General features: G+C 37.4%; 2 long non-coding RNA genes and 1 pseudogene across 3 annotated transcripts in view; 1 reads left to right on the top strand and 2 right to left on the bottom strand.

Annotated features, from left to right (window-relative positions):
- The window catches only part of LOC105376234 (uncharacterized), an 83,492-nt gene extending 70,630 nt beyond the window's left edge, over positions 1-12,862 (bottom strand). For both annotated transcript variants that reach the window (XR_930269.2, XR_930268.2), the window contains exons 1-2: positions 12,596-12,862; positions 8,975-9,073 (exon numbers count right to left, since the gene is read on the bottom strand). This is a non-coding gene — a long non-coding RNA (uncharacterized LOC105376234). The remainder of the gene's footprint in view (positions 1-8,974; positions 9,074-12,595) is intronic.
- LOC101928775 (uncharacterized) lies at positions 12,462-17,031 on the top strand. Its single transcript, NR_109805.1, has 3 exons — positions 12,462-12,544; positions 15,139-15,239; positions 16,827-17,031. It is a non-coding gene; the product is annotated as an uncharacterized LOC101928775 (long non-coding RNA).
- A 5,143-nt stretch (positions 17,032-22,174) lies between these two features.
- On the bottom strand, positions 22,175-22,309 carry LOC124902356 (uncharacterized; annotated as a pseudogene).
- Positions 22,310-22,815: the final 506 nt, after the last annotated feature.

Raw genomic sequence — 22,815 nt, 5'->3', positions numbered from 1 at the left:
ACAACATAAAAAAGTGAGTGGACAAGTTTATATGGAGAGATGAAGAAAAGAAGTTCATACTAGAAAGCCTCCAAGATCTCGTCTAACAGTAATTTTCTAGGCTATCTCACTCTATGGTTTATAGTATGTCTATATCTATAATAGGGCCAACCTGAAGCAATCTTTTGATTTAGGATATTTCCCTTTATTTTCTACCCTCAGTTTTCTTAGACAGAATAGCCCCACTTCCTTTAGAAACTTCCAGAGTTTTTCAGTGTTGGTTAATCACCTGTCTGCATTTCAGTTATGCTCCCAGACTGGCCCCTCTATCCATCTTTCTTTCCCACTCCAAGTTCCTTCCTTCTTGCTTCCCTTGTTTTTTCTCTGCCTCTCCCTTAATCTTTTTACCAACATTTTTTTTGAGAATGAAATATGTTTAATTTGACTTATGCCAATTTTTCCAAGTTTATTTGAAATGGAAATTTGGTGTGTTTTTTTCTTTTTTTCTTTTTACATAGCATCACATGGAACTAGTCATCTGTGGAAAATTCTTGGGGAGTTGCTTCCTTGGGAAGGTGATTATGGACAGACTTGAGGACAGATAGAGCAAAGCCAGCTCAAAAACATTCAAGGATCTTCACCTGACCGTTCCCAGTGCTTCACCCTTGTTAGTCTTTAAACAAATCATGTCCAGTGACATCCCAATGACCTGAGCCACAGTCCTTGTCTTCATCCTTTTGTCATTGCAACATACTCCTGAAATCGCCACCTTCTACGTAATCTCTTTGCTCTGAGCTCTACTTACCATCTCTTTTCCAGCAGTCATTACATTTAAAAATCTTGTTTCTAAGGCCTGAGTCAGGTACCTCCACTTCATGAAGAATTCCACAGTCATTTTCATTCGTCATTCCTCCCATTCCTGCCCAGTGCCCCCAAGGGGAAATAATTTCACCTTTAGCAAGTGATTCAGCAGTATTTATTTCTGTATCTATTTTATTTTTTGAGACAGGGTCTCACTCTGTTGCCCAGACTGGAGTGCAGTGGCACAATCTCAGCTCACTGCAACCTCTGCCTCCCAGGCTGAAGTGATTCTCCTGCCTCAGTCTCTGGAGTGGCTAGAATTACAGGCACACGCCACTACTGCTGAGCTAATTTTTTGTGTTTTCAGTAGAGAGGGGTTTCACCATGTTGGTCAGACTGGTCTTGAATTCCTGACCTCAAATGATCCACTCGCCTCAGCCTCCCAAAGTGCTGGGATTACAGGCGTGAGTCACCATGCCTGGCCCTGTATGTATTTTGAATATTTCAGTGATACACATCAGTCTAGCTCCTTATATATAGTTAATTGTAAGTGGAAACTTGTCCAAAAACATGAGTGTTGGGTTGAAATCAATATTTTATATGTACTAGATTGGCCAGCCTCTTTGTACCCACCACTGTTCCCTTGTGCCCACCACTCAACAATTCCCTTTTTATAATATAAGCAAAGAATAGGATATTAATGCAAACGATGACAATAAACCAGTTTGGAAACTGCCTTAAACCATTTCTCAAGTTATTTTCTGCACATATGTATTCAATTCATATATAGGTGTTATGCTTTAAAAGTTTAACATATTCTGCTCTTACAGGTTACTTTGCACGTGATAGGAACGGCATGTATCATCCATCCATTTTATTTAACACCTGTGTGCTTCCAAAATAAAAAGATAGTTTTTCTTACTGAGTCCTGAGTTTACAGCCTAAAGTTATTATCTGAATATAAATTTATAGGGAGAAGTCTTCTGTGGAGAGTATATATCTACTTTTATTTAAAAATCTTTGCAGATTGAAAATGGCTTTTGTAATTTGTAGCTTGTGTTATTTGTTTACATTTACTTATTTTTTTCTAACTTTGGGAGGGGGGGTGTTTAAAATGAAGTCCTTAAAAAAACAAGTCTACAAACTGATTCCAACAAAAGGTATTTTGGTGAAAGTCTACTATAAAATTAACTTGAAAATATCTTAGAGAGAATAAAATTATCTCCTATAAATGGCATAAATATTTCTTTGGGATGCTTAGCTTATGACCCCAGAGAGATTTTAGAACAAGAGGGCACATTTTTCCTAGTTTTAAATAATAATAATAAAATTAGTTCTACTAAGTCTTTATTTTCCATTAGCATAATACTTCAAAGTTTACAAACTGTTGTCATTTGATCTTCCCAGTTAGCCTGAGGGGTTGGCATAAGAATAAAAACAGCTACCATTTACGAGAGGCACTGTTCTTAGAGACTTACATGTGGGGTGTCATGAATGCTCAAGCAGTCCCATGACATAAGTATTAGGGTGATGCAAAAGTAATAGCAGTTTTTGCCATTACTTTAAAAATACTATTGCTGTTGTCATTTTGCAGATTGGGAGCATGAGGTACTGCTAGTTTGGGATGAAGCTGAAGTATAAACCCAGGTTGTTTGCTCCATAGTTCATGTTCTTAACCAGTGCCCTAGACTCTCCTGTGACCACAGCTTGCATGAAGAAACACTGGCTAAAAGAGATTATATGTTGACCACTAACAAAACAGAGCACCCTTTTGATGAACAAAGCTAAACACCAAAAAGACAAATGAAGAAGAATGAATCTCTAACAATTCAGGGTTTTGGGGGCCTCTTATCCTGACTAAACGGATGTTCCACTATGGACGTAGCTCATCATATTTAAGGCCTTCTCAAAAGAAGGCCTTTCTAAGTGCAGGTATCCTTAGAAAGTCTATCTGTAGACCTATAAACAGGAAAGAAAAGCCTGGAAAACTCAAAGGACATGCCTAAGACCACTATGGTGTATTCCCCACTACACCTTTTCTGTGGCATTCTTTTCCAGGTTCTGACTTTCACCTAAATCTGTGTAGTCATAAGTCCTCATTCTGCCCCTGGATAGACTTCAGCCAGCCATGAGCCTGGTCCAACTCCAAATTTTCTCATCAGAAAAACAAGGAAAGCCAAACCCAGTAGGTTTTTAAGAATTAATAACATAAAAAATTGTAAGATATTGCTGTAAAAACATACACAGAGTAGCACTTTAAATTTTTCCAGAATCATGGTGGTATGCTATGTTCCATAGAAGATTTTCTATCTCAATAAACTATGTATCACATATCTCTATCTCTCTCTCTCTATTGCAACATTTCCTCTTAAACCTTTCACTTACAATCTTTCAGAATTGTACCTCTGCATTTCTAAGCAGAACAGACACTAAAATACAAATTCCCTCCCTATTTTCGAGATGTTTTCAGTCAAGGAATAGAGAAAGCTGCCTGCAAAAGACACTGGAGGCAGGTTACTAAGAGAATAACTGGAAAAAAAACTTTGCAAGGTGAAGACAAAGGGGAATGATGAATTCTCATTTAGAAAAATTGGGGAGGGTTTCAAGAAAGAAGTCACACTTATATGGGCATGAGAGACAGAATTTTGGCAGGTTAAGATGAGGACAAAGGATATTTATTCCAAGTGGAGAGACTATGTGAATAAAGGCAGGGTGGCGAGAAACATCAGGGAATAAAATCGCAGAGAATAAATATCAATTTAACAGCAAACCCCCATAAGTTTACCTGTGTAACAAACCTGCACTTGTACCCCTGAACTTAAGATAAAAGTTAAAAAGGAACGATACTAAGGGTTTTTGTAGCATCCAGTGAAAAAGAGGTCAGAAGCCAGATCTCAGAAAGCTTTCTATGACAGGTCAAGACATGTGGGCTACTGTTCACAGGTAGGTACTGATGATAGAGCAGATTTGTTTTGTTGGGCAGATCATGCTCGGGTCAGAGCAGGAAAGTTCTACAGGAGGCAGCAGTTCAGCCCGTCCTGGAGCAGAGGGACCAGGTGCATAAGATTGCATGCAAGTCAGTGTGTGCCAACGTTATGACAAAAGCTTGGGAATAAGAGAGATGGTGAATGGCTCTGACTTTCTGGACACTCTGAATGAACAACGATACGATCAGTCTGTTAACTTTGAAAGGAGCTCAAGAAATAGACTCGTGTGTGTGTGCGCGCATGTGTGTGTGCATGTGTGTGTGTGTGTGTATGTGTGAAAGAGAAGGAAATAGCTTGCAATTCATTTTGGTATAAGGACCATTTCATAGGAAATAACCGAATGCATCAGATCATCATCAATTATTCACCACATTCCTGGCAATCTTTCAAAGCATCTTATAGGTTTGTATATTATTTACTCCCTTGCCCTAATGCATTTCTCCTCTGACATCCCTACCTCAACCCTAAAATGAAACAAAATTGTAATCATTTTATAGCACACAAAAAAATAAAGTCCAGGGAAACGTTCCTCATTTCCTGGAGGGCAGTGACTCTCAACTGACTAAAGAAATGGAAAATGATTTTTACCATCTTAGGGAGAAGAAAAACAGCAATTTCCAATTAAGCTGTTTGCTCTCCGTATTCAGAAAGAGGATTGGACTGGTTTGGACCTGCTCTTTCTATAAAACAGAATTAAAATTGTATGTAGTAGAGGACAGGAAAATGACATGATGCAAAATAATGAGTGACACAGAGATGTAAATATAGCGCCCAACACAGCACCTGGCACAGTGTGGGTTGGTGTTCTGCCATTTTTATTACCCAAAGATTCTGAATATAAATTTTTTGACACTGGGATTCTGAAGAAGTCAGACAGAAAATTCCACTGAATTATACAGGATATCAAGATACTCCGGATTCTGGCAACAGATCTCATATCGTGACCACCTTGTTTCTAACATCACAGACCTAATTGCAGGAATAAAGCTTTTATTTTATTTTTACTTTTTAATTTGAGAAAACATTAAATTTACGATAAAGTAGAAAAAATAGTACACAATGTTTCTGTTTACCTTTCACCAAGCATTTCCTGATGTTTTATAACCTTGGTATAATTATCAAACTATGAAATGGACATGGGTGCAGTTCTAGTAACTAACCTGCAAACCTGATGTGACGTTTGCCCATTGTCCCACTGGCGTCCTTTGTCAGACCCAGGATTTAATCCTGGATTACAGGTTACTTTTCAGTGCCCCTTTTCCTCGGTCTTCTCCAAACTGGGGCAGGTCCTCAGACTTTTTTAATTTTTATTTTATAAACTTTTTGTGTATGACTATGACATTTGAAGAATACAGCTCCATTATTTGGTAGAATGTCTACCATCTGCTCTTCCTTCATATTTAAATTTGGATAATGCATTTTTTGGCAAGAATATCATAAAAATTATGCTGTGTTCTTCTTAGTGCATCATATTAGAAGGTAAACAATGTCCATGTATTTCATGGCTGGCCATATTAAAGTTCACCATTGACTGAAGTGGTTTCTGCTTGGTTTACCAATGTAAAGTTACTATCTTCTCCCATGTATTTAATAAGTACCTTATAGGGAGGTACTTTCTATAAATATGTTTGCATGCAAAAATCTTGTTTCTCATCATACCTTTACCCACTAATTTTAGTTTTCATTGATAAATCTTGCCTGCAACACCTATTTCTGTAGTATTTGCTAAGTGATGAAGTCCATCTATCTTTCTTCATATATAAGTTGGAATTCTGCTGAGGAAAAGAGCTTTCACTCTCCCTCATTTACTTATTTATTTATATCAATATAAAACAACACAGGCTGTTTTATTAGTACTTATTTTGTTGCTTATGGTGTCATAAAATTTACCAGTGAAAGCTTCTTCAGGTTAACTGCTACATTCTTTTTACATGCCCCATCATTTTTGGAGTATTCTCTTATTTCTTGGCACCATAAGTAGTCCCAGGCTTATCTTGCATTTCCCTGTACTAGCACTGAAATAATCCAGTACTTAAATGAATTCATTTTTCCTTTTTATTTATTTTAAAAATAGTATTTAGAAACTATTTTGAAACTTTAGGTGTGCTCATTATAATTGCTGTACTACAGTATTATTACTTCTAGGCCCTCTCAGCAGACAAAAATGAAAAAAAAATAAGTATGCACACACACACATCTACATCAATTTAACCGTATATATACACAAATGTGATTTATGTGTGTGTGCATATGAATGTGTGTATATAAATATATACACACATACATATATTAATATATACATATATTGTATATAATGCATATAATATATACATATATAAATATATACACACATACATATATTAATTTATTGTAATACCTCTGATTCAAATCCAACATTACACAGTTCATTCTAGCCTTCAACCTTTAATTATGATTCCTTTCTTCAAAAATGAGAAAACTGGCTTTCATTATCCATGATTTGATAGCAAGTTTATTTATTTGCTATCTTAGAATGCATTTAAAGTCATTCCAGGATTACTAACGTTATGGAAAACAAACTTATTAACTAGAGTAAAATTCCATGTACAGTTATTTTTGTTGTTAGCTTTGCAATTTGTAGTCGAAATCCTGTTTTCCAGTATTACTTAGGTTAGTCCTTAACTTTCCCACTCCCTTCAGTAAAATGATTTCATCTATTTTTTGTAGAGTTAGTTCATTTGTTAATGTTTGTATTCTGCTTAAAGTTTACCTCCTTCCCAATTCTCCGTTGATTTTGTCTGTCTATTTGATTGGTTGGTATTTATTTATTTGGTATGTGATATACTATCACTCTTTCAAAAGTCAAAGCTTTACAAAGACATATACTCAAGGAGGTACCACTCATCCTTTATTCCTTCCAACCAATTTCCATTCCCTTATTCTTTCCTACCCACTCTCTGCAGGCAATCCATCTTGTTAGTGTCTGGTTTACCTTCCTGTATTTCTTTTTGAACAAATGTACATATACATGCATATTGATTTATGCCACCTTATTTTTACATGAAAGGTTGCATACTATGATACTGTAAGAGAATGAAGCCTCAATCCCTAATCTTTCCAAGTACTGAATTATTAAAGTTATAAAACTAGAGAATAAGTAAACCATTCTTGAAGCCACATAAACATAAGGTCTTAAGTACAAAAGGCAATAGCATAAAAATATATTAATAGTTACTCAAATTTCAGCCTAAGCCTCCTCTATAAGCACCTACAGCAAGGTTTCTATATGTTATTCAATGATCCCAAATCCAGAAAAGTTGTAATACTGAGCAAAACTTCCACAAAATCATAGCTATTAACTTGGATATAAATGATACTTTGTAACTTCTAATACATTTTTTCACTCATTATTTTATTACACACCCCTATCATCCTGTGAGGTAGCAAGAAGTTGTTTTCTCATCTTCATTTTTACATATGGACACACTGGAACTCACTTACTTGCATACTTGTCTGCCATCCCCAACACATGCTGATACTCTGGAAACCATGCATTTTGCCTTATCACTCCTCTAATGCCTAGCAGAGCTACATGCTACTTATGCAGTGGCAAGGAAACATTGATTGGACAAGATTAAATAGTAAATCCAAGACAAATAGCTAGTCAGGGGTGAAGTCAGGAGTCCTTAATTTATTTAGTGATTCAACAAGCATTGAACATTCAATAAGCATTGGACATTTATTTTACACTTGGTACAAGGGACAGAAAGATAAGAAATACGAGGACCATGTTTTCAAGGAATTCACTGTCTGTAAACACAGACGAATAAACATGTGATTAGAATATGATGAGAAGGCTATGATACAGATAAGTGTTATGGTATTCAGAATATATTTATTTATCTATTTATTTATATAAATTTAAGTGGCACAAGTGCAGTTTTGCTACAAGGATATACTACACAGTGGTGAAGTCTGGATTTTTATTGTAACCACTACCCAAATAGTGGTTTTTGGGTACACAATAGTGTACATTACACACATTTAGCAAGTATAGCTGTTTGGGATCTTGGAGTTACTGAGAGGGGGAGACCGATAGCTTTTGGTATAAGCACCTTCTTGGTGCCTGGAATATTTCATCCTTCTCTTCTTTCACTGTGGTTCTCCCATAGACACTTTTATAACTCATGCTTAGTCTTTGGGTCTCATTCTCCACTTTTTTTCTTCCATGAAGATGCCCCTATTCTGATTGAATTTGAGAATCTTCATTTGGAGTTTGCTATCACTCTGTGTTTTTCTACATTCAAGAATTTTTTAGAAGGTATAAATGCTGGAGGTAAAAAGTCGTATTAATTGCCGCTATCTTGGAACACCGCATAGTGGAGAAAACATGGGCCCCGTTACTGAGACTCAGTTTTCCTGGTATGGCAGAGTGGAATAGGAATTGGGAGATCAAAGGTCAACTGAATCTGAGCTCTGCTCCTCTTGGCTATGTGATTTTGGACAACTTGTTTAATTTCTTTAAAGTGCTATTTTCCTTTTTCCGAAATGTACGGATAAAAATGGTACTTACTTCAAGCTCTATGGTCAGAATTTAATATTAAATATAATAAAAATAAAGTACTTATAAAATATCTAGCATTTAGAAAATACCTGTTAGTTAAGCATCAACTATTATTATTCTATCCTTCACCAAACTTCTAGACTATAAATCACTCTGTTGTCTCCTCTATCCCAGTGACCCCACAAGATGTAAACCAGCAGGCAGGAAGAGCACTCCAGGAACTGCCCCTTTTGGCCCATGAATCTTTCTACCTGTTGGCCCCCAATGTCACTTCTAGACTGTGGTGTATTGTCTGTCTTCCACCTCTGCCCTGAAAGTCTGATTCCAACGTGCTACTCAGGTCCTCTCAGTTCCAGTGTCTTGGTCATGAGGCCAATAAAAATGTAGACCCTTGGGGATTGGAGCATTCTTTGAATTTTGATAATCAGAGTGTCTATGCCCAAATGAATACTAATGCCAATCCATAGTTCTCAGATTTCTGAACTATCAGAGTGGGAAGGAATCTAAAGAGAAGGATTCATTTTACAGATGGAAAAAGCTGAGGTCATAAATCAAATTAGTAATATGACCAGGATTAGAACTCAATCTGTTCTCCCCAAAGGTTGAATTTTTTCCAATCCATAAATGGGCACATGAAAAGAACAAACCAGATCACTGAACTTACCCTTCTCAGATGCATAAGTCTGAATTATCTTCTAGTATATAGATATGGAAATCCTTGGGAAATCTGAGCCAGTTTTGATTTCTTTTTTGAGATCCATCTCTGAGGATTGAAAAATTAAATGTTTTAGGCATTGGAAATCTCAGTGCTATAGATGGAATTGTGTGCCCTCCCCAGCCCTTCCCACCCTATCAAATGTTGAAGCCCTAACTTTCAGTGTGACTGTATCTGGGGATAGGGTCTTTAGGAGGTAATTAAGGTTAAATGAGGCCATAGGGTGAAACCCTAATCCAACAAGAAAGTAGCCTCTGAGAAGAGAAACAGATCTTTCTCCCTCTGCTATGGGAAGACATAGTCAGAAGGTGTTCATCTGCAAGCCAGGAAGAGAGTTCTTGCCTAAACATGACCATGCTGGCACTCTGATCTTAGACTTCCAGCCTCCAGAACTGTAAGAAAGTAAATTTTCAATGGTTTAAATCTCCCAGTCTATAGTACTTTTTATGACAGCCCAAGCTGACAAATACATCCATTTGCAATGAGGGTACATTTTAAATCTTTAACAAATACAATCTGTAGTTGGCTTCTTAGAACTTGGGGAACAGGACATTAGTTTGTAAAGTTATTGTTTTTCCATTAAGTGCTCTACAATTCAACTGGAACTTAGATTAGTGAAGACAGTATGATAATGCTAGGTGAGAAGTAGGAGCAGAAAGGAAGAAACTTAGAAAAAAATATAATTTGTGTTCTCCATAAGAAGACCAATATTTGAAATGGCAATTATCAGAATTGGGGAGTCATATGAAGTAATGATGAAGAGCCCCTCTTGTATTCCAGCAGCAAATGGGCATGATTCTCTTCCCTATCCTCCCACCGGTACAAAACTGCTCACAGTGGGACACTGGGATTCCTCGCTCTGGTCTAATTTTAAGTAAATAAAATGATGCGGCACTTTGCCACATCCCTCTGGAAACTATTCCAAAATTGAGCAGATCTCATCTTTCGAAAATGTTCCCTGAGTAATGGAAACATGAGGAAGGGGGATACACTACAGACCCCGGATGCATCTTTCAACCACAGTGGAATGCAATATACCAGACACACTGTTACAGTGGTCAGGATGGACGTGGGAAAGATTTGAAGGATAGAACAGTAAGCTGTGCTGTCATCTTAAATCATTCCCACTGCTAGATGCTCTCAAGGATGAAATCTCACAATGCTAGGCACAGTGGGAAGGGTTTAATCCCCTTTCAATCTATGACATGTAGATATTGCTACATGGAAGCTGCCATCTAGCTAACAGGCTACTTTTCTGATTTTCCTATAGTGTAAAAAATGTAGAGGGGGAGTAGAAGAGACAAATTCACCTTGGAATCTTTCCACCCACCTGTGTAGAACTGTAACCCAGACAATAGGCAGGGCCTTTCTGAATCTTGAGATTTCAATATTTATTTCAGCCTTCAGATTTATACTCAGATCCAAAGCTGATTTCAAGATTTTTGTTAGTTGCTAGGAATTTTTTTGTTCTCAAAATCATCTTTGTCTCCTAACTTCAGCATCTATGTGTTCCCTTTTGTTCCACATCTTAACTCTTTATCCCCAAAAACCTCACTACTCAAGTCTTAGTCTGCAGTGTGCCAAAAATATTTTCAGTTGTCCAGACACTAAAATGTTTTCACTGTCGCTTCTACCTCATCATCTCAACCTATTTTGATCTTCCTGCCTCTTGTCTCTAATCTCTTCCCCATAAGCTGAGCTCCAGCTCTTACTTCCAGAAGGGAAACAAAAATTCATCCTGACTTAATAGAGTCTAGTGAGGGATCATTTTTTGTTGCACAGAAATAATTGTCTTTGGACCTTTCCCTTCACTAAATCATCCCAAGGGGTTTATTAAGGTATTTTCTATTTTTAAAAATAATTTTATCCTGAAGAGAAATTCTGACATCAGAGCCTAAGATAAGGTAAGCATTTCATTCTGCTGTATTTTCAACTGCTGCTCTACCACTCTGATCTCTATTGAGCAGGATAATCAGGATTACAATTTTTGCACCTATAAAAAGGTTCTGTACCAAGGACAGATCTTCATTGCAAAGCAACCATAGACCATAGGCATTATTCTCCTCTGTCAGGCTACTTAACTGGACTCAGCTAGGTTATTCATTGCTTTGAAGTGAGTTTTCAAAGGTCTCTGTTAAGTGCAAGTATCAGTTAGAAATTCGTTGTGGTGCAATAGAAAGGTATGTCCCTGTGTATTGAGGACAATTGCAATTTGAAATCTATCTCTGCTATATGGCCAAGGATCACTCTCAACTTCCTTTTTTTCTTTTTTAATCTGGAAAGTAGGATTGCATTAATCTGCTCAGTGGGGTTAGTTGGAAATGGAAATATCAAAGAATAGGTGAGTATAAAGAATGTTTGCAAATATTTAATTATATATTGCTAATGTTACTTATTATGACTTGTCAGTCATTTCTACTGTACTATTGTCTTAAATTGAATTTATGAGGCTTCACAGTGAAGATTCTTTAGGACAGATAAGCTTTGTGTGTGTGTCTGTGTGTGAGAGAGAGCTTTTAAATGAAGAGATTTACCATAAGAAATTGACACCTGTAATTTTGGAGGCCGGCAAGTGTCATGGTTTGCAAGTCTGCAGGGTGAGTTCACAACCTGGAGACTCAGGCTGATGTTGAGTTTCAGTCCTAAGGCCAGCAGACTTGAACCCCAGTTTAGGTCTGAGGAGAGGAAAAATGCTGATGTCCCAGTTTGAAGGCCATTAAGCAAGAAAAATCCTCTCTTACCTGGGGGAGGGTCAGCCTTTCTGTTCTACTCAGACCTTCAACTGATTTGGTGAGGCCCATTCACATTAGGGAGGGCCATCTGCTTTACTCAGTTTAACAATTTAAATGTTAACCTCATCTAAAAGCACTCTTAAGGAAACACCCAGAATATTGTGTGACTAAATATCTGGGCATTGCATGGCCCAATCAAGTTGACACATAAAATTAAGCCATCACAATATCGTAAGAAGTACAGGAGATCCAAGGGCAGGGACAGAAAGAGAGGTAGATGGGAGAACCAAACCCACTGGATTGTAAAGTTTCCAGTGATCCTCTAGTATTACGTTAATTTGCTCATTTAAAAGATGAAAACACTAAGTCCAGATAGGCATCTAGGATGTGTTACAGGTAGGTAGGTAGGCGTGAGCCAGACAGAAGAGGGCTCTTCCCCCACGCACTAGAAGTGTCAGGTGCTGGTTTGGCAATTCTCGCATTGCCTCTCTGAGAGTGATGATTTAGCAGCGTCAGGCAGAGGCCATTTCCTGATAGTCCACACCTGTTAACATCAAAATGGTAAATGAACGCAGAGCCCAGGGAGAAGAAACTTCCTGGGCATGCGTATTAAGAGGAAAATGGCGAAGTATGATCTTCCGGGTACACGCCACCGGAAAAAGGAAAAAAGCCTCGGAGGGGCATGCCAATAACGCCTTTAACACATGGCGCATGCTTGCTTCCCAAAGCTAAGGAGGGCTCTGTGCAGGCGGGCAGCCCACCCTAAGGGAAGAATCATGGGAAAGAGGTGAGTTTCCCTTGGGAAAGTCCCAAGATTACAGTTAAACGGGGCACTGACCTTCTCTCTTTAACCTTCATGTGCCTGCGTGGGTCTTTTCCATGCACACCTTCATTTCGTTCCTGTTCTAAGGCATTTTAAAATAAACTTTCATTCCTGCTCTGGAACTTGACTCAGTCGCCCTTTCTGCTTTGTGCCCCTCAGTCGAATTCTTCCTTCTTAGGAGGCAAGAATTGACGTTGCTGCAGACCTGGACGGATACTTCCGCCAGTAACTCGGTGTAACTCCGGTCTCTTCCCCTGTAATAGGTGGAGTCACAAAAGGAGAGGCTGCAGGACCAGACCAGAGTCCCCTGTGCCCTAACGTCTCCTCTCCCCCTTTACCAGGTCTATGTCTCTCCTTTCCCAAGGAAAAATTCAAACAGTGCATTAATTTTTCAGAGTAAGGGTTTCTTTTTTGTTCTTATAAGTGGACATTGAAGGGACTTTACATTTGACAATGTAAAGCTTTTAGATTTGAGGTTTCATGATCTTATTAGAAAAGTTTGAACAACAATTTATACCTTCTCTGTTTCTTATACCTTTGAGAGTGAAGTAAGATCTCTGAGTTAGGAGGCAGACAGCAAGTTTGTGTTATCCTGAACAAATGATTGATGGCATGAACGCTCTGGGCTGGGAGACATTAGAAAGGCTTCTTATCCACCTCTCTCCCACAAGGGGTAGTAATGCCAAATAAAATACCTACCAAGTAGCTGTCCCCTTTGAATATCTCCAAAAAGGAGAACTGACACCCACTTTCTGAGAACCTATTGTACATCAGGCACTTCAACCAGCATTTCAATGTGTTATGAATTTAATTCCAATAACCACTCTGTGGTAATTATGATTATCTATATTTACGTGTGCGAAAATTGACCTTGAGAGAGATGAAATATTTTGGCCAAAGTTCAGGACACATTAGCTGTAGATTTGCTTTCTAGCCTAAGTGTGTGTTTGCCTCTAAAGTCTGTCTACCATGTAGCAGTTAGGAGCACAGATTTTGGTATCACCTGCACCTGAGTTTGGATCCTGAGTCTTCACCTTTTTAACATTATAGCTCTGGCCTTGCAGCCTGTTTCTTCATCTGAAAAAAAGAAGGAAAAATAATACCAAACTCAGAAAGACTTCATGAGGATCGAGTCTGTTTGAATTGCTTTTCATTGCACCTTCTAAATGTAAGTGCTCAGCAAATGATAGGTGTTTTTAATAATACAACTCTCAGTAACTTCATTGGCGCTGCTATCGAGACTATCTGCAGTGATGTGGATAATTTCCTCTGCATCTACAGCCTTCATCCACTTCAGAAACTCATGGTAGGAGCAGCTCTTCTTTCCCTCCTCTCCTCACCCTGTAGCAACATAGACAAAATCCATTATTTACACTGCCTCAAACAGCCTGAGCTTTAGGAAAACAAACAGAGTCATTAGAATAGTCAACTAAGTAAGATTTCTGCCACTTCTGTCTTGCGTGGGATAGATGTTCCTTATCAGAGCGAGTGACAGTTACATCCATTCAGTGGGCGAGAAACAGCTTTTTATTCCGTGCATTTCATTAATTCGCTGCCAAGAAGAGAACCCCAGTCAAAGGTAAAAACAATTCTGCCTGTAGCTGTACCTAATTGTCCAGCAGCAGAAAGGAGTGTGATGGAGGTGCCTGTCAGTGTTTGAAAGCAGAGCAGATGTTTTCAATTGCTCCCTTCTTTGTAATTCTACCCTGGAAATAAGAATTTCAAACCTAGAAAATAATAGGAATACATGAACCTCACAAAGGGACATACATGTTAAAAATAAATAAATAAAGATGAACAGCATGGGATAACAGAGTGAACACATTTAAAGCCATTGAATGAGACTATTTGGGAATTATTTTTCCAATCAGATCAGTACCCAGTAAACACAATTGTATCTCTGAATACCTTGTAGTTGAAAAAAATGTCAGGTTTTTTTTTGTTTGTTTTTTGTTTTTTTTTTTTTGAGACAGAGTTTTGTTCTTGTTGCCCAGGCTGGAGTGCAATGGCACGATCTTGGCTCACCACAACCTCCATCTCCTGGGTTCAAGCGATTCTCCTGCCTAAGCCTCCTGAGTAGCTGGGATTACAGGCATGCACCACTATGCCCAGCTAATTTTGTATTTTTAGTAGAGATGGGATTTCTCCATGTTGGTCAGGCTAGTCTCGAACTCCCGACCTCAGGTGATCCTCCCACCTTGGCCTCCCAAAGTGCTGGGATTATAGGCGTGAGCCACAGCGCCCGGCCTTAAATGTCAGGTTTTTTGAATGTGCTTTTTATAATAGAAAAATAGCAGCATTTCTTTATGATGCCAGGATTCAGCATTGGTCAACACTTGTATGAGAAGCTTTATTATTCTAACAGATTTTGTTTACAAGCAGAAAATATTGGTAAATCTCATATAACATAAGGATGTATCAATAGTTCCATATGCTATGCTTTAATAGAGTTCTGTAAGGTTTCTAAAGATGACTTAAGTCAGCGTCACTGAAAATAAAGAGTCAGAAATAACCTAAAAAATGAGTGATTCCATAGAACAAATATATTCATTTTACAGATGGGGAACTGCGACATGAAGAAGTTAACTTACCTAAGATCAGAGAATGAGTCAAGGACAGAACAGGACCATGTCATCAAATTTAGAGAAACTTGAACTATGTGAGTAAATAATCTTATTTATTTCTTTCTAGTAGAGTTGAGTGCAATAATTTGAAGGGTGATTAAAACAATTTGAATTCCAGTTTTCAAGCTTATCTAGTAAAAGCTCAGTATACCAAAGAAAGAGGGTACTAATTCAAGAATATAATGCCAATTTTTACTTTCTACAGTCTTGCTTTGACATGATAATGAGAAAACAATCAGTCCAAAATGAGTCTTAGAGAGGAATCAGCACCTTTGAAAACAAATGTCTCCAACAGGAAAAAGCATGTTTATACCTGCTTCTTGAAAGGAGATATTCTACAGCCTCATTAAGAGAAAAGCACGTTACACAGTAAGGAAGTGGGATTTGAAAATTGCTGTAGGTGATTTACAATATCTCTTTGACATCTTAGAATCCCATTCTTTAGAGGGAACTTAGGTGCTACCTTGAGCCATCCTGTCTGTGCAGCATACCATCCCTGGGCAGCATTCACTGGGCACAAAAGCCCAGCTATATTTCGAAGCCTCCATTGAAATAATACAGCTAGAATTTGACACATGAGTTTGAACCTATCAACTGATAGAACGTTCTTTCTTATTTTGCCCTTGCTGTCTCTGGAGCTGCATTTCTTAGTCTTTGTTGGGCCTTCAGCAACCTCTAAAAGTAAGCCCTGCTTCGCAACTGCTATTTAGATATTGGAGACCACGATCATGTGCACCCCGTGCCTTCTTGTTTACAAACCACTACCCAGTTCTTTCCACTTGGAAATACTGTACAGTGTTTGGTGCTGTGATGGTTAATTTTACATGTCAATTTGGCTAAGTATAGGGCCCATTTTTTTGGTCTGATGCCAGTCTAGATGTTGCTGTGTTGGTATTTTTTAGATGTGATTAATATTTAAATCAGTAGACTTTCAGTGATGCAGATTATCCTCCATGATGTGTGTGTGTGTGTGTGTGTTTAGAGGGGATGTCTTCCAATCATTTGAAAGCCTTGAGGGCAAAGACTGAAGTTCTTTTTCGGTGGAGAACCTTGCCTGATACAGGTGCTGTGCCTCTGTAATGATTTGCAGAATTAAATAGATACCAGCATCACAGATTGAGATAGTGAATTAATGTGATGCAGTAGGGTTTTCAGGAGCCTTTCACAATTGTGGATAAATCACAATATCTTTCAATACTCAGTATGTTGAGATACTTACAGATGTTTGGTGAGGATAAATATATGTGAAGAACATAATACAAGACCTTTTCACAGTCTTATTTCTAGCCTGTTGCCTACACTGTAGACAAGCCAGTGTTAGGAATGACATTAGCCTGAGAGATGAAGGGTGTTTCATCTCCCTAGTGACAGCAATGGCCAGATAAACAAGTCCCCACCATGGGTACAGGGATTTAACACTTATAAATGATTTTTGCAAATATTGTATCAAAGGATTCTGATTTTCAATCCCATAAACTAGATATTGACCCTATTTTATAAATACAAATGAAGGCCTGGGAATATAAAATGATTTGCTCAAGACTTCTAAACTCATATGTGGTAGAACTCTGAGTCTGATATTCTCCCCGCACATCTTTCCATGCCTTTCTCCAAATAAATAGGCAGAAAAGAGATGGGATTCTTCTGTGGCTGTGCTGCTCACTCAAGGGAGTCTGAACCATTTTGACCAGGAAAAGCCAAAGGAAAGGCCACTGCCAAGGGCAGACCACACATTGCCTGAAGTCATTGTTCTCCATTCCAGCCCCAAGAACTCTGCGAGATCGATGAAAGCATACATTGAGAAATAAAAGTCATGAGAAAATTTTACAAATTAGCTAGCTTTCATTTCCTGTTGGCTTTTCCAGCACATGCTTGGCACCAGATGAGAGTAATGTGGTAATGCAGTAAAATATCCCTGTGAGACACTATCTGCTTAGAGACAGGAGGCAGTGAGATGCTTTAGCCCTTGATGTCCTAAGGGCCTGTCTGGACATCGTGAGGTTTTCTCAGAAGCCAATGTAATAGACTTTTTGTCATATCAAGTTTGTTTTTTAGGGAATTTCAAGGCATCAACATTATCTATATTTCCACTGCCGGCTCTGATTTGGAAATGCCAGTAAAGTTGGTGTGCTTTATATTTACTTGATCTCTAAAAAAATGTGTGAGCTCAATCTTGTCTTGTCCTAACTGGCATAATTATTCATCACGGATGCGTTTCGTGGGATTAGAACCAGTAACAGGAAGTCACAGTGTGCCCTATTTTAACAAAAACAAATGTCTAGGCCCTGAACCTGGAAAACAGATTCAACAAGGGAGTTAACCCTCACATTGGAAAATTATTCTCATGATGTAATAGTGACAGCTATGATTTATTGAGCACCTACTATGGGCCAGGTATTTTATTGATGTTATTTATAATGCTCATAACTACTCTGCAAAGCATGTGAAAGAAAATTGATACTTGGTAAAGGAAAGTAACTTGCTGAAGGTCACATATTTAGAAAATATCTAACCCAGGCTGGTTTCTCCAGCAGGTGTTTCTGCTACTACACTGAAGTGTTTGTCTTCAGATCATATATAAAACATGTTAATTATTTATAAGGAAGATATATATATATATATATACACACACACACACACACACACACACACACACACATACTAATATGGAGTTTACATTTTAATTATTTGTAAGGAAGATATATATATATATACTGATATGGAATATAAATTTTATTTATAAGGAAGACATATACATATATATACTGATATGACATTTAAATGAAATTTCTGACAAAAAGAACTATTTCATTAAAATAAGTGTACTTATCTTTTAGTACCTAAAAAGCAGTTACAGTTGTATTAGGTGTTCAATTAATATTTGTGAAATAAAAAATGCATCATTTATTCCAGTTGATCCAAAGGGTTGCATCTATGACCTTTTCTCCTACCAACCCATCAGAAAATTTTGTAAAAAGAAATTCATTAATTTTTTTCAGCAAGCATGCACAGAGAACATATATACACTTGTGGCAGATATAGTTCTAGGCAATGGGACACAGTTATGGGAGAAAACATTCTAGCTTCTAGAGAGGACACAATCTGGGGATAACAGACTTCTAAACTGACAATGTCAAACAATGTGATAAGTCATACAGGTATGTGCATGTGGGGCCTAAGACAGCACAGAGGAAGACTCTATAGACAGCTTTAGAAAGAGGTAAAAACCTGGAGTATTCCAGTGCCTGACCAAATGCAACAATCCTTTGTTTTCTCATGTTTTCATACATTCAAATAGGCTTTTCATTATGAGTAATTTTAGGTTTTTATCCTGGAGTTATAGGACCATGAGATTTGAAAAGTGTGTTGGTCACTTTGAAATCAGATGTTTGTTTTTTTACCATAGGATAGCATGGAAAAGCTTCACTGCTACACAACACTTACTAACCCTAGATATAAGAGGGTTGTGAATTCAGTTGTTTGTTTCATAGGACCTCTTATTGTGTCTAGGGTTTCTAAGTGATGTGTAGCAGTGGAGCTTTTCAATTTCCTATTCTATGGCAAAAACAAACATCTGATTTTAAGATGACCAACATGCTTTTCAAATCTCATGCAGCAAAAGTGATAAAAGGAACTGAGATCTAGATAATGAGCAAAAAAGTGGATGCTGCAGCTGCCCTAGGAGGGCAGGGTCAAGGTGGGGGAAAATGTTGGGGGCTGTTGTTTGGGGTCTTCATGCTGGAAAAATTGGGGTTCAAGCTCCAGTGGAGTCAGGAGAGGAGAATCTGTGCATGCTCAGGGTGAGGGCTGAGATTTATACTTCTGCATTAAGCCAGAACACTCAAAGATCTACAGCTTCAATTAAAGGTGGAATAAACTCAAACTTGCATTTCTGAGCAACCATATTGTTCACAGCAACCTGTCCCTGTGTGCAGCTTGGAGCCTTGGAGATCATACCCTAGTCTATGGTATGCTGTGTTATCTCCTTTTTATGAGAATATCTCTTATGTGTTCTGTATAATTTTCCATTAAAATAAGCTAATTTCACTTGCCCTTGGCTCTTAAAATATATAATGAAATATTTCATAATATAAAATAGTTTTTCATAAACTTGCCTAAATAAATACACATTAGAAGGGTTTGTTCCAATTTACATTTTCTCCAAGTGTTTGTTGCAAAGCCCATTCTTATACTTTTATGCCAACCTCTGGGTAATACACAAAAAAATATTTCAATCTATGCCAATTTAATAGGATAAAAATAACACATCTTGTAAAATGTAAGGCACATGTATTGGTTCCCGTGTGAAGTCAAACACCCATTGACGTGTATTGACTGTGGTTGTTTCACCTGTGAATTATTTTTATATGTTTATATATCAGTTTCCAGTTTTTCAATTCAGCTGCTTTTATTTTTCCTTTTTTGTTGTTGACAGCTAATTATACTTAGTATTTATACAGCATGCATTTCTCTGTTTCAAGCACCATTTTTAATGCTTAAATCACTGTTGTTCATTGAATCTTTACAATAAACCCTATAGGCTAGGTACTATTATTGTCCCCATTGATACAGAGGACAAAACTGGCTCAGAGATGTTAAGTAACTGATAAAGACAGAATAAAAATTGGGGGACTTAACCCTTCTGTTTAGTATTTCTGCTGTTACTCATGTTGAATTATTTTGTTGTGTGCTTTGTAACTAAAAATTGTGAGCTCATCTTCAGTGAGGTTTTATCTAGAAGAACCCAGTGAGACCTGAGATGAAGACATGATCATCCGGAGAAGATTATAATTTGCCTGTATTAGACATTCCAGATATTTCACTAGCAATTTGTAAAAATTTTACTGAGATATAATTAACATGCCATAAAGTTTACTTGTTTTAAATATACAATTCACCAAAGCAATTCTGAGCAAAAATAGCAAAGCTGGAAACATCACACTACCTAACTTTCAGTATACTACAAAGCTATAGTAACCAAAATGGTGTGGTACTGGCCTTAAAAACAGAACAGTGAAACAGAATACAGAACACAGAAATAAATCCATGCACTGACAGCAAATTGATTTTCAACAAAGATGTCAAGAACAGAGTCTCTTCAATAAATAATGCTGGCAAAACTGGATATCCAGTTTTCTTCATATGCAGAAAAATGAAAACTAGACCCCTATCTCTCACCAAATACAAAAATCAACTCAAAATGGGTTAAAGACTTGAATGTAAGACCCAAAATGATAAAACTACCAGAAAAAACATAGGGGAAACATTTCATGACATTGGCTTCAGCAAAAATTTTTTTGAATAAGAACTTGAAAGCACAAACAAACAAAAGCAAAAATAGACAAATGGAATTACATCAAGCTAAAAAGCTTCTGCACAGCAAACAATCAGCAGACGAAAGAGGCAACTTATATAATGATAGAAAAATTTGCCCACCATCTATCTGACAAAGGACTAATATCGAGAATATATAAGAAACTCAAACAACTCAATAGCAAAAAAAAAAAAATAACCAAATCTAAAAATGGACAAAATACTTGAATAGACATTTCTCAAAAGAAGACATACAGATGGCTAACAGCTATATGAAAACATGTGTGATATCACTAATCATCAAGGAAATGCAAACCAAAACCACAATGAGATATCACTTCACCCCATTTCGAGAATGCCTATTATCAAAACAAAACAAAACAAATCCACAAATGCTGGTGTGGATGTAGAGAGAGGGCAACTTTTTAAAAAATATATTATTATTATTTTTACTTTTAGAGATAGAATCTTGCTCTGTTGCCCAGGCTGGAGTACAGTGGCCTGATCATGGCTAACTGCAACCTAGAACTCTTAGGCTCAAGGGGATCCTCCTTCATTAACCTCCTGAGTAGCTGAGACTGCAGGCACACACCACCATGCATGGCTAAAAAAGAGAAACTCATGCACTGTTGGTGAGGTTGTACGTTTGTAGAATCATTATGGAAAACAGTATGAAAAGTTTCCACAAAATTAAAAACTAAGTTACCATATGATCCAACAATTGCACAACTGGATATTACACATCCAAAGGAAATGAAATAAGTATGTTGAAGAGATATCTGCACTCCCATGTTTATTATAGCAATACCCGAGACATAGAATCAACCTAAGTATCCATCAACAGATGAATGTATAAAATGTATAAAGAAAATGTGTGGATATACACAATGGAATACTATTCAGATGTTAAAAAGAATGAAATCCTGTCATTTATGGCAACATGAGTGAAGTTGGAGGATATTATGGTAGGTGAAATAAACCAGGCACAAAAGCACAAAAAGACAAAAACCACATGATCTCACACACATGTGGAATCTAAAAACATTGATCTTATAGAAATAGAAAGAACTGTGGTCACCAGAGGCTGGAGAGTGAAGAGGCGAGTGGGATGGGGAGAGATTAGTTAATGAATACAAAGTTATGGTTAAATAAGAGGAATAAGTTCCGGTCTTCTATTGCCCAGTAGGGTGACTATGGTTAACAGTGTTGTATTCTATATCTCAAAATAGCTAGAGGAGGGAATTTTGAAATTTCTTATAACAAAAAATTATAAATATTTGGGATAATGCTAAATAGCCCCACTTTGATTATTATACAACCTTGCCTTGAGTTAGGACATACTCTGAGGAACAACATGCTCTAGAGTTTCCTCAGCATCAGGCTGATAGTGAGGGTTCACCCAAAATCATGCCCTTGCTTGGTTTTGTTCCATCCCTCCCACTTTTACCTTATTGATCTTTCCTGACAGCATGTTCTTAATAAATACCATGTGCGTGATATATCATTTCAGACACTACTTTGGAGAAAGCTGACCTAAGATGCAGAATTAGTAAGTACTGTCTCCCATTTCTGTATTCAAATTTTGCACCTCTACAAAGGGGAGGAAAGTAAGATTCAGAGAGGTTCATATTTTTTTCTCAAGGTCAGGCAGTTGGTAAAAGACTTAAGTCTACTATTCTAAAATCTAGTGAAGTGAGTTGCACCACATTGCCTCTTAAAGATTTTCATAGGGAAGTAAATCTGATAAGAACAGATTCTACACTTGATCTTAGCCAAAAGACTGAGAAGCAATACGGAAGTAAATCTATAATAATGTGCTACGAAGATTCCTTAGAATCTCCAATTTAAATTACATTTATGCTCACTCTCAGTTTCTTCATTTATGAAATTAGGACACTTATTATTGTCAGTGTCTTTCTTTTTTTAAGATTAAATGGAAAAACATAGGGAGCATGCTTTGGCATATGACTAGATATTCAGTATATATTTTTCCTTCATTGAAAAGCCAGGGTAAAGAAACTTTAACCCCATAAGGACTCGGGTGTTCAAAATTTGTTTGACCAACCACAGGTTGTTTTTTTGTTTGTTTGTTTTGTTTTTTGTTTGTTTGTTTTTGGTGGATAAAGAATGAAGAATCACATGTTTAGAAGGTTTCTTAATAAAGCCTAGCTCTCTCCTAAAGAGGAAAAGCCACAGACGACAGGCATGCCACATTTAAAACAGTAGTAACCCAGTAGTCCTTCCTAACTGCTGACTAGGCAATTCCCAGGAGCCCAGGAAGGAAATCCAGAAGGATAT

Source organism: Homo sapiens, chromosome 9, assembly GCF_000001405.40.
Source record: "Homo sapiens chromosome 9, GRCh38.p14 Primary Assembly".
In the NCBI taxonomy this organism is placed as follows: Eukaryota; Metazoa; Chordata; class Mammalia; order Primates; family Hominidae; genus Homo; species Homo sapiens.
Note: the sequence above shows the minus strand (reverse complement) of the source record. Positions and strands in the feature narration are given on the sequence as shown.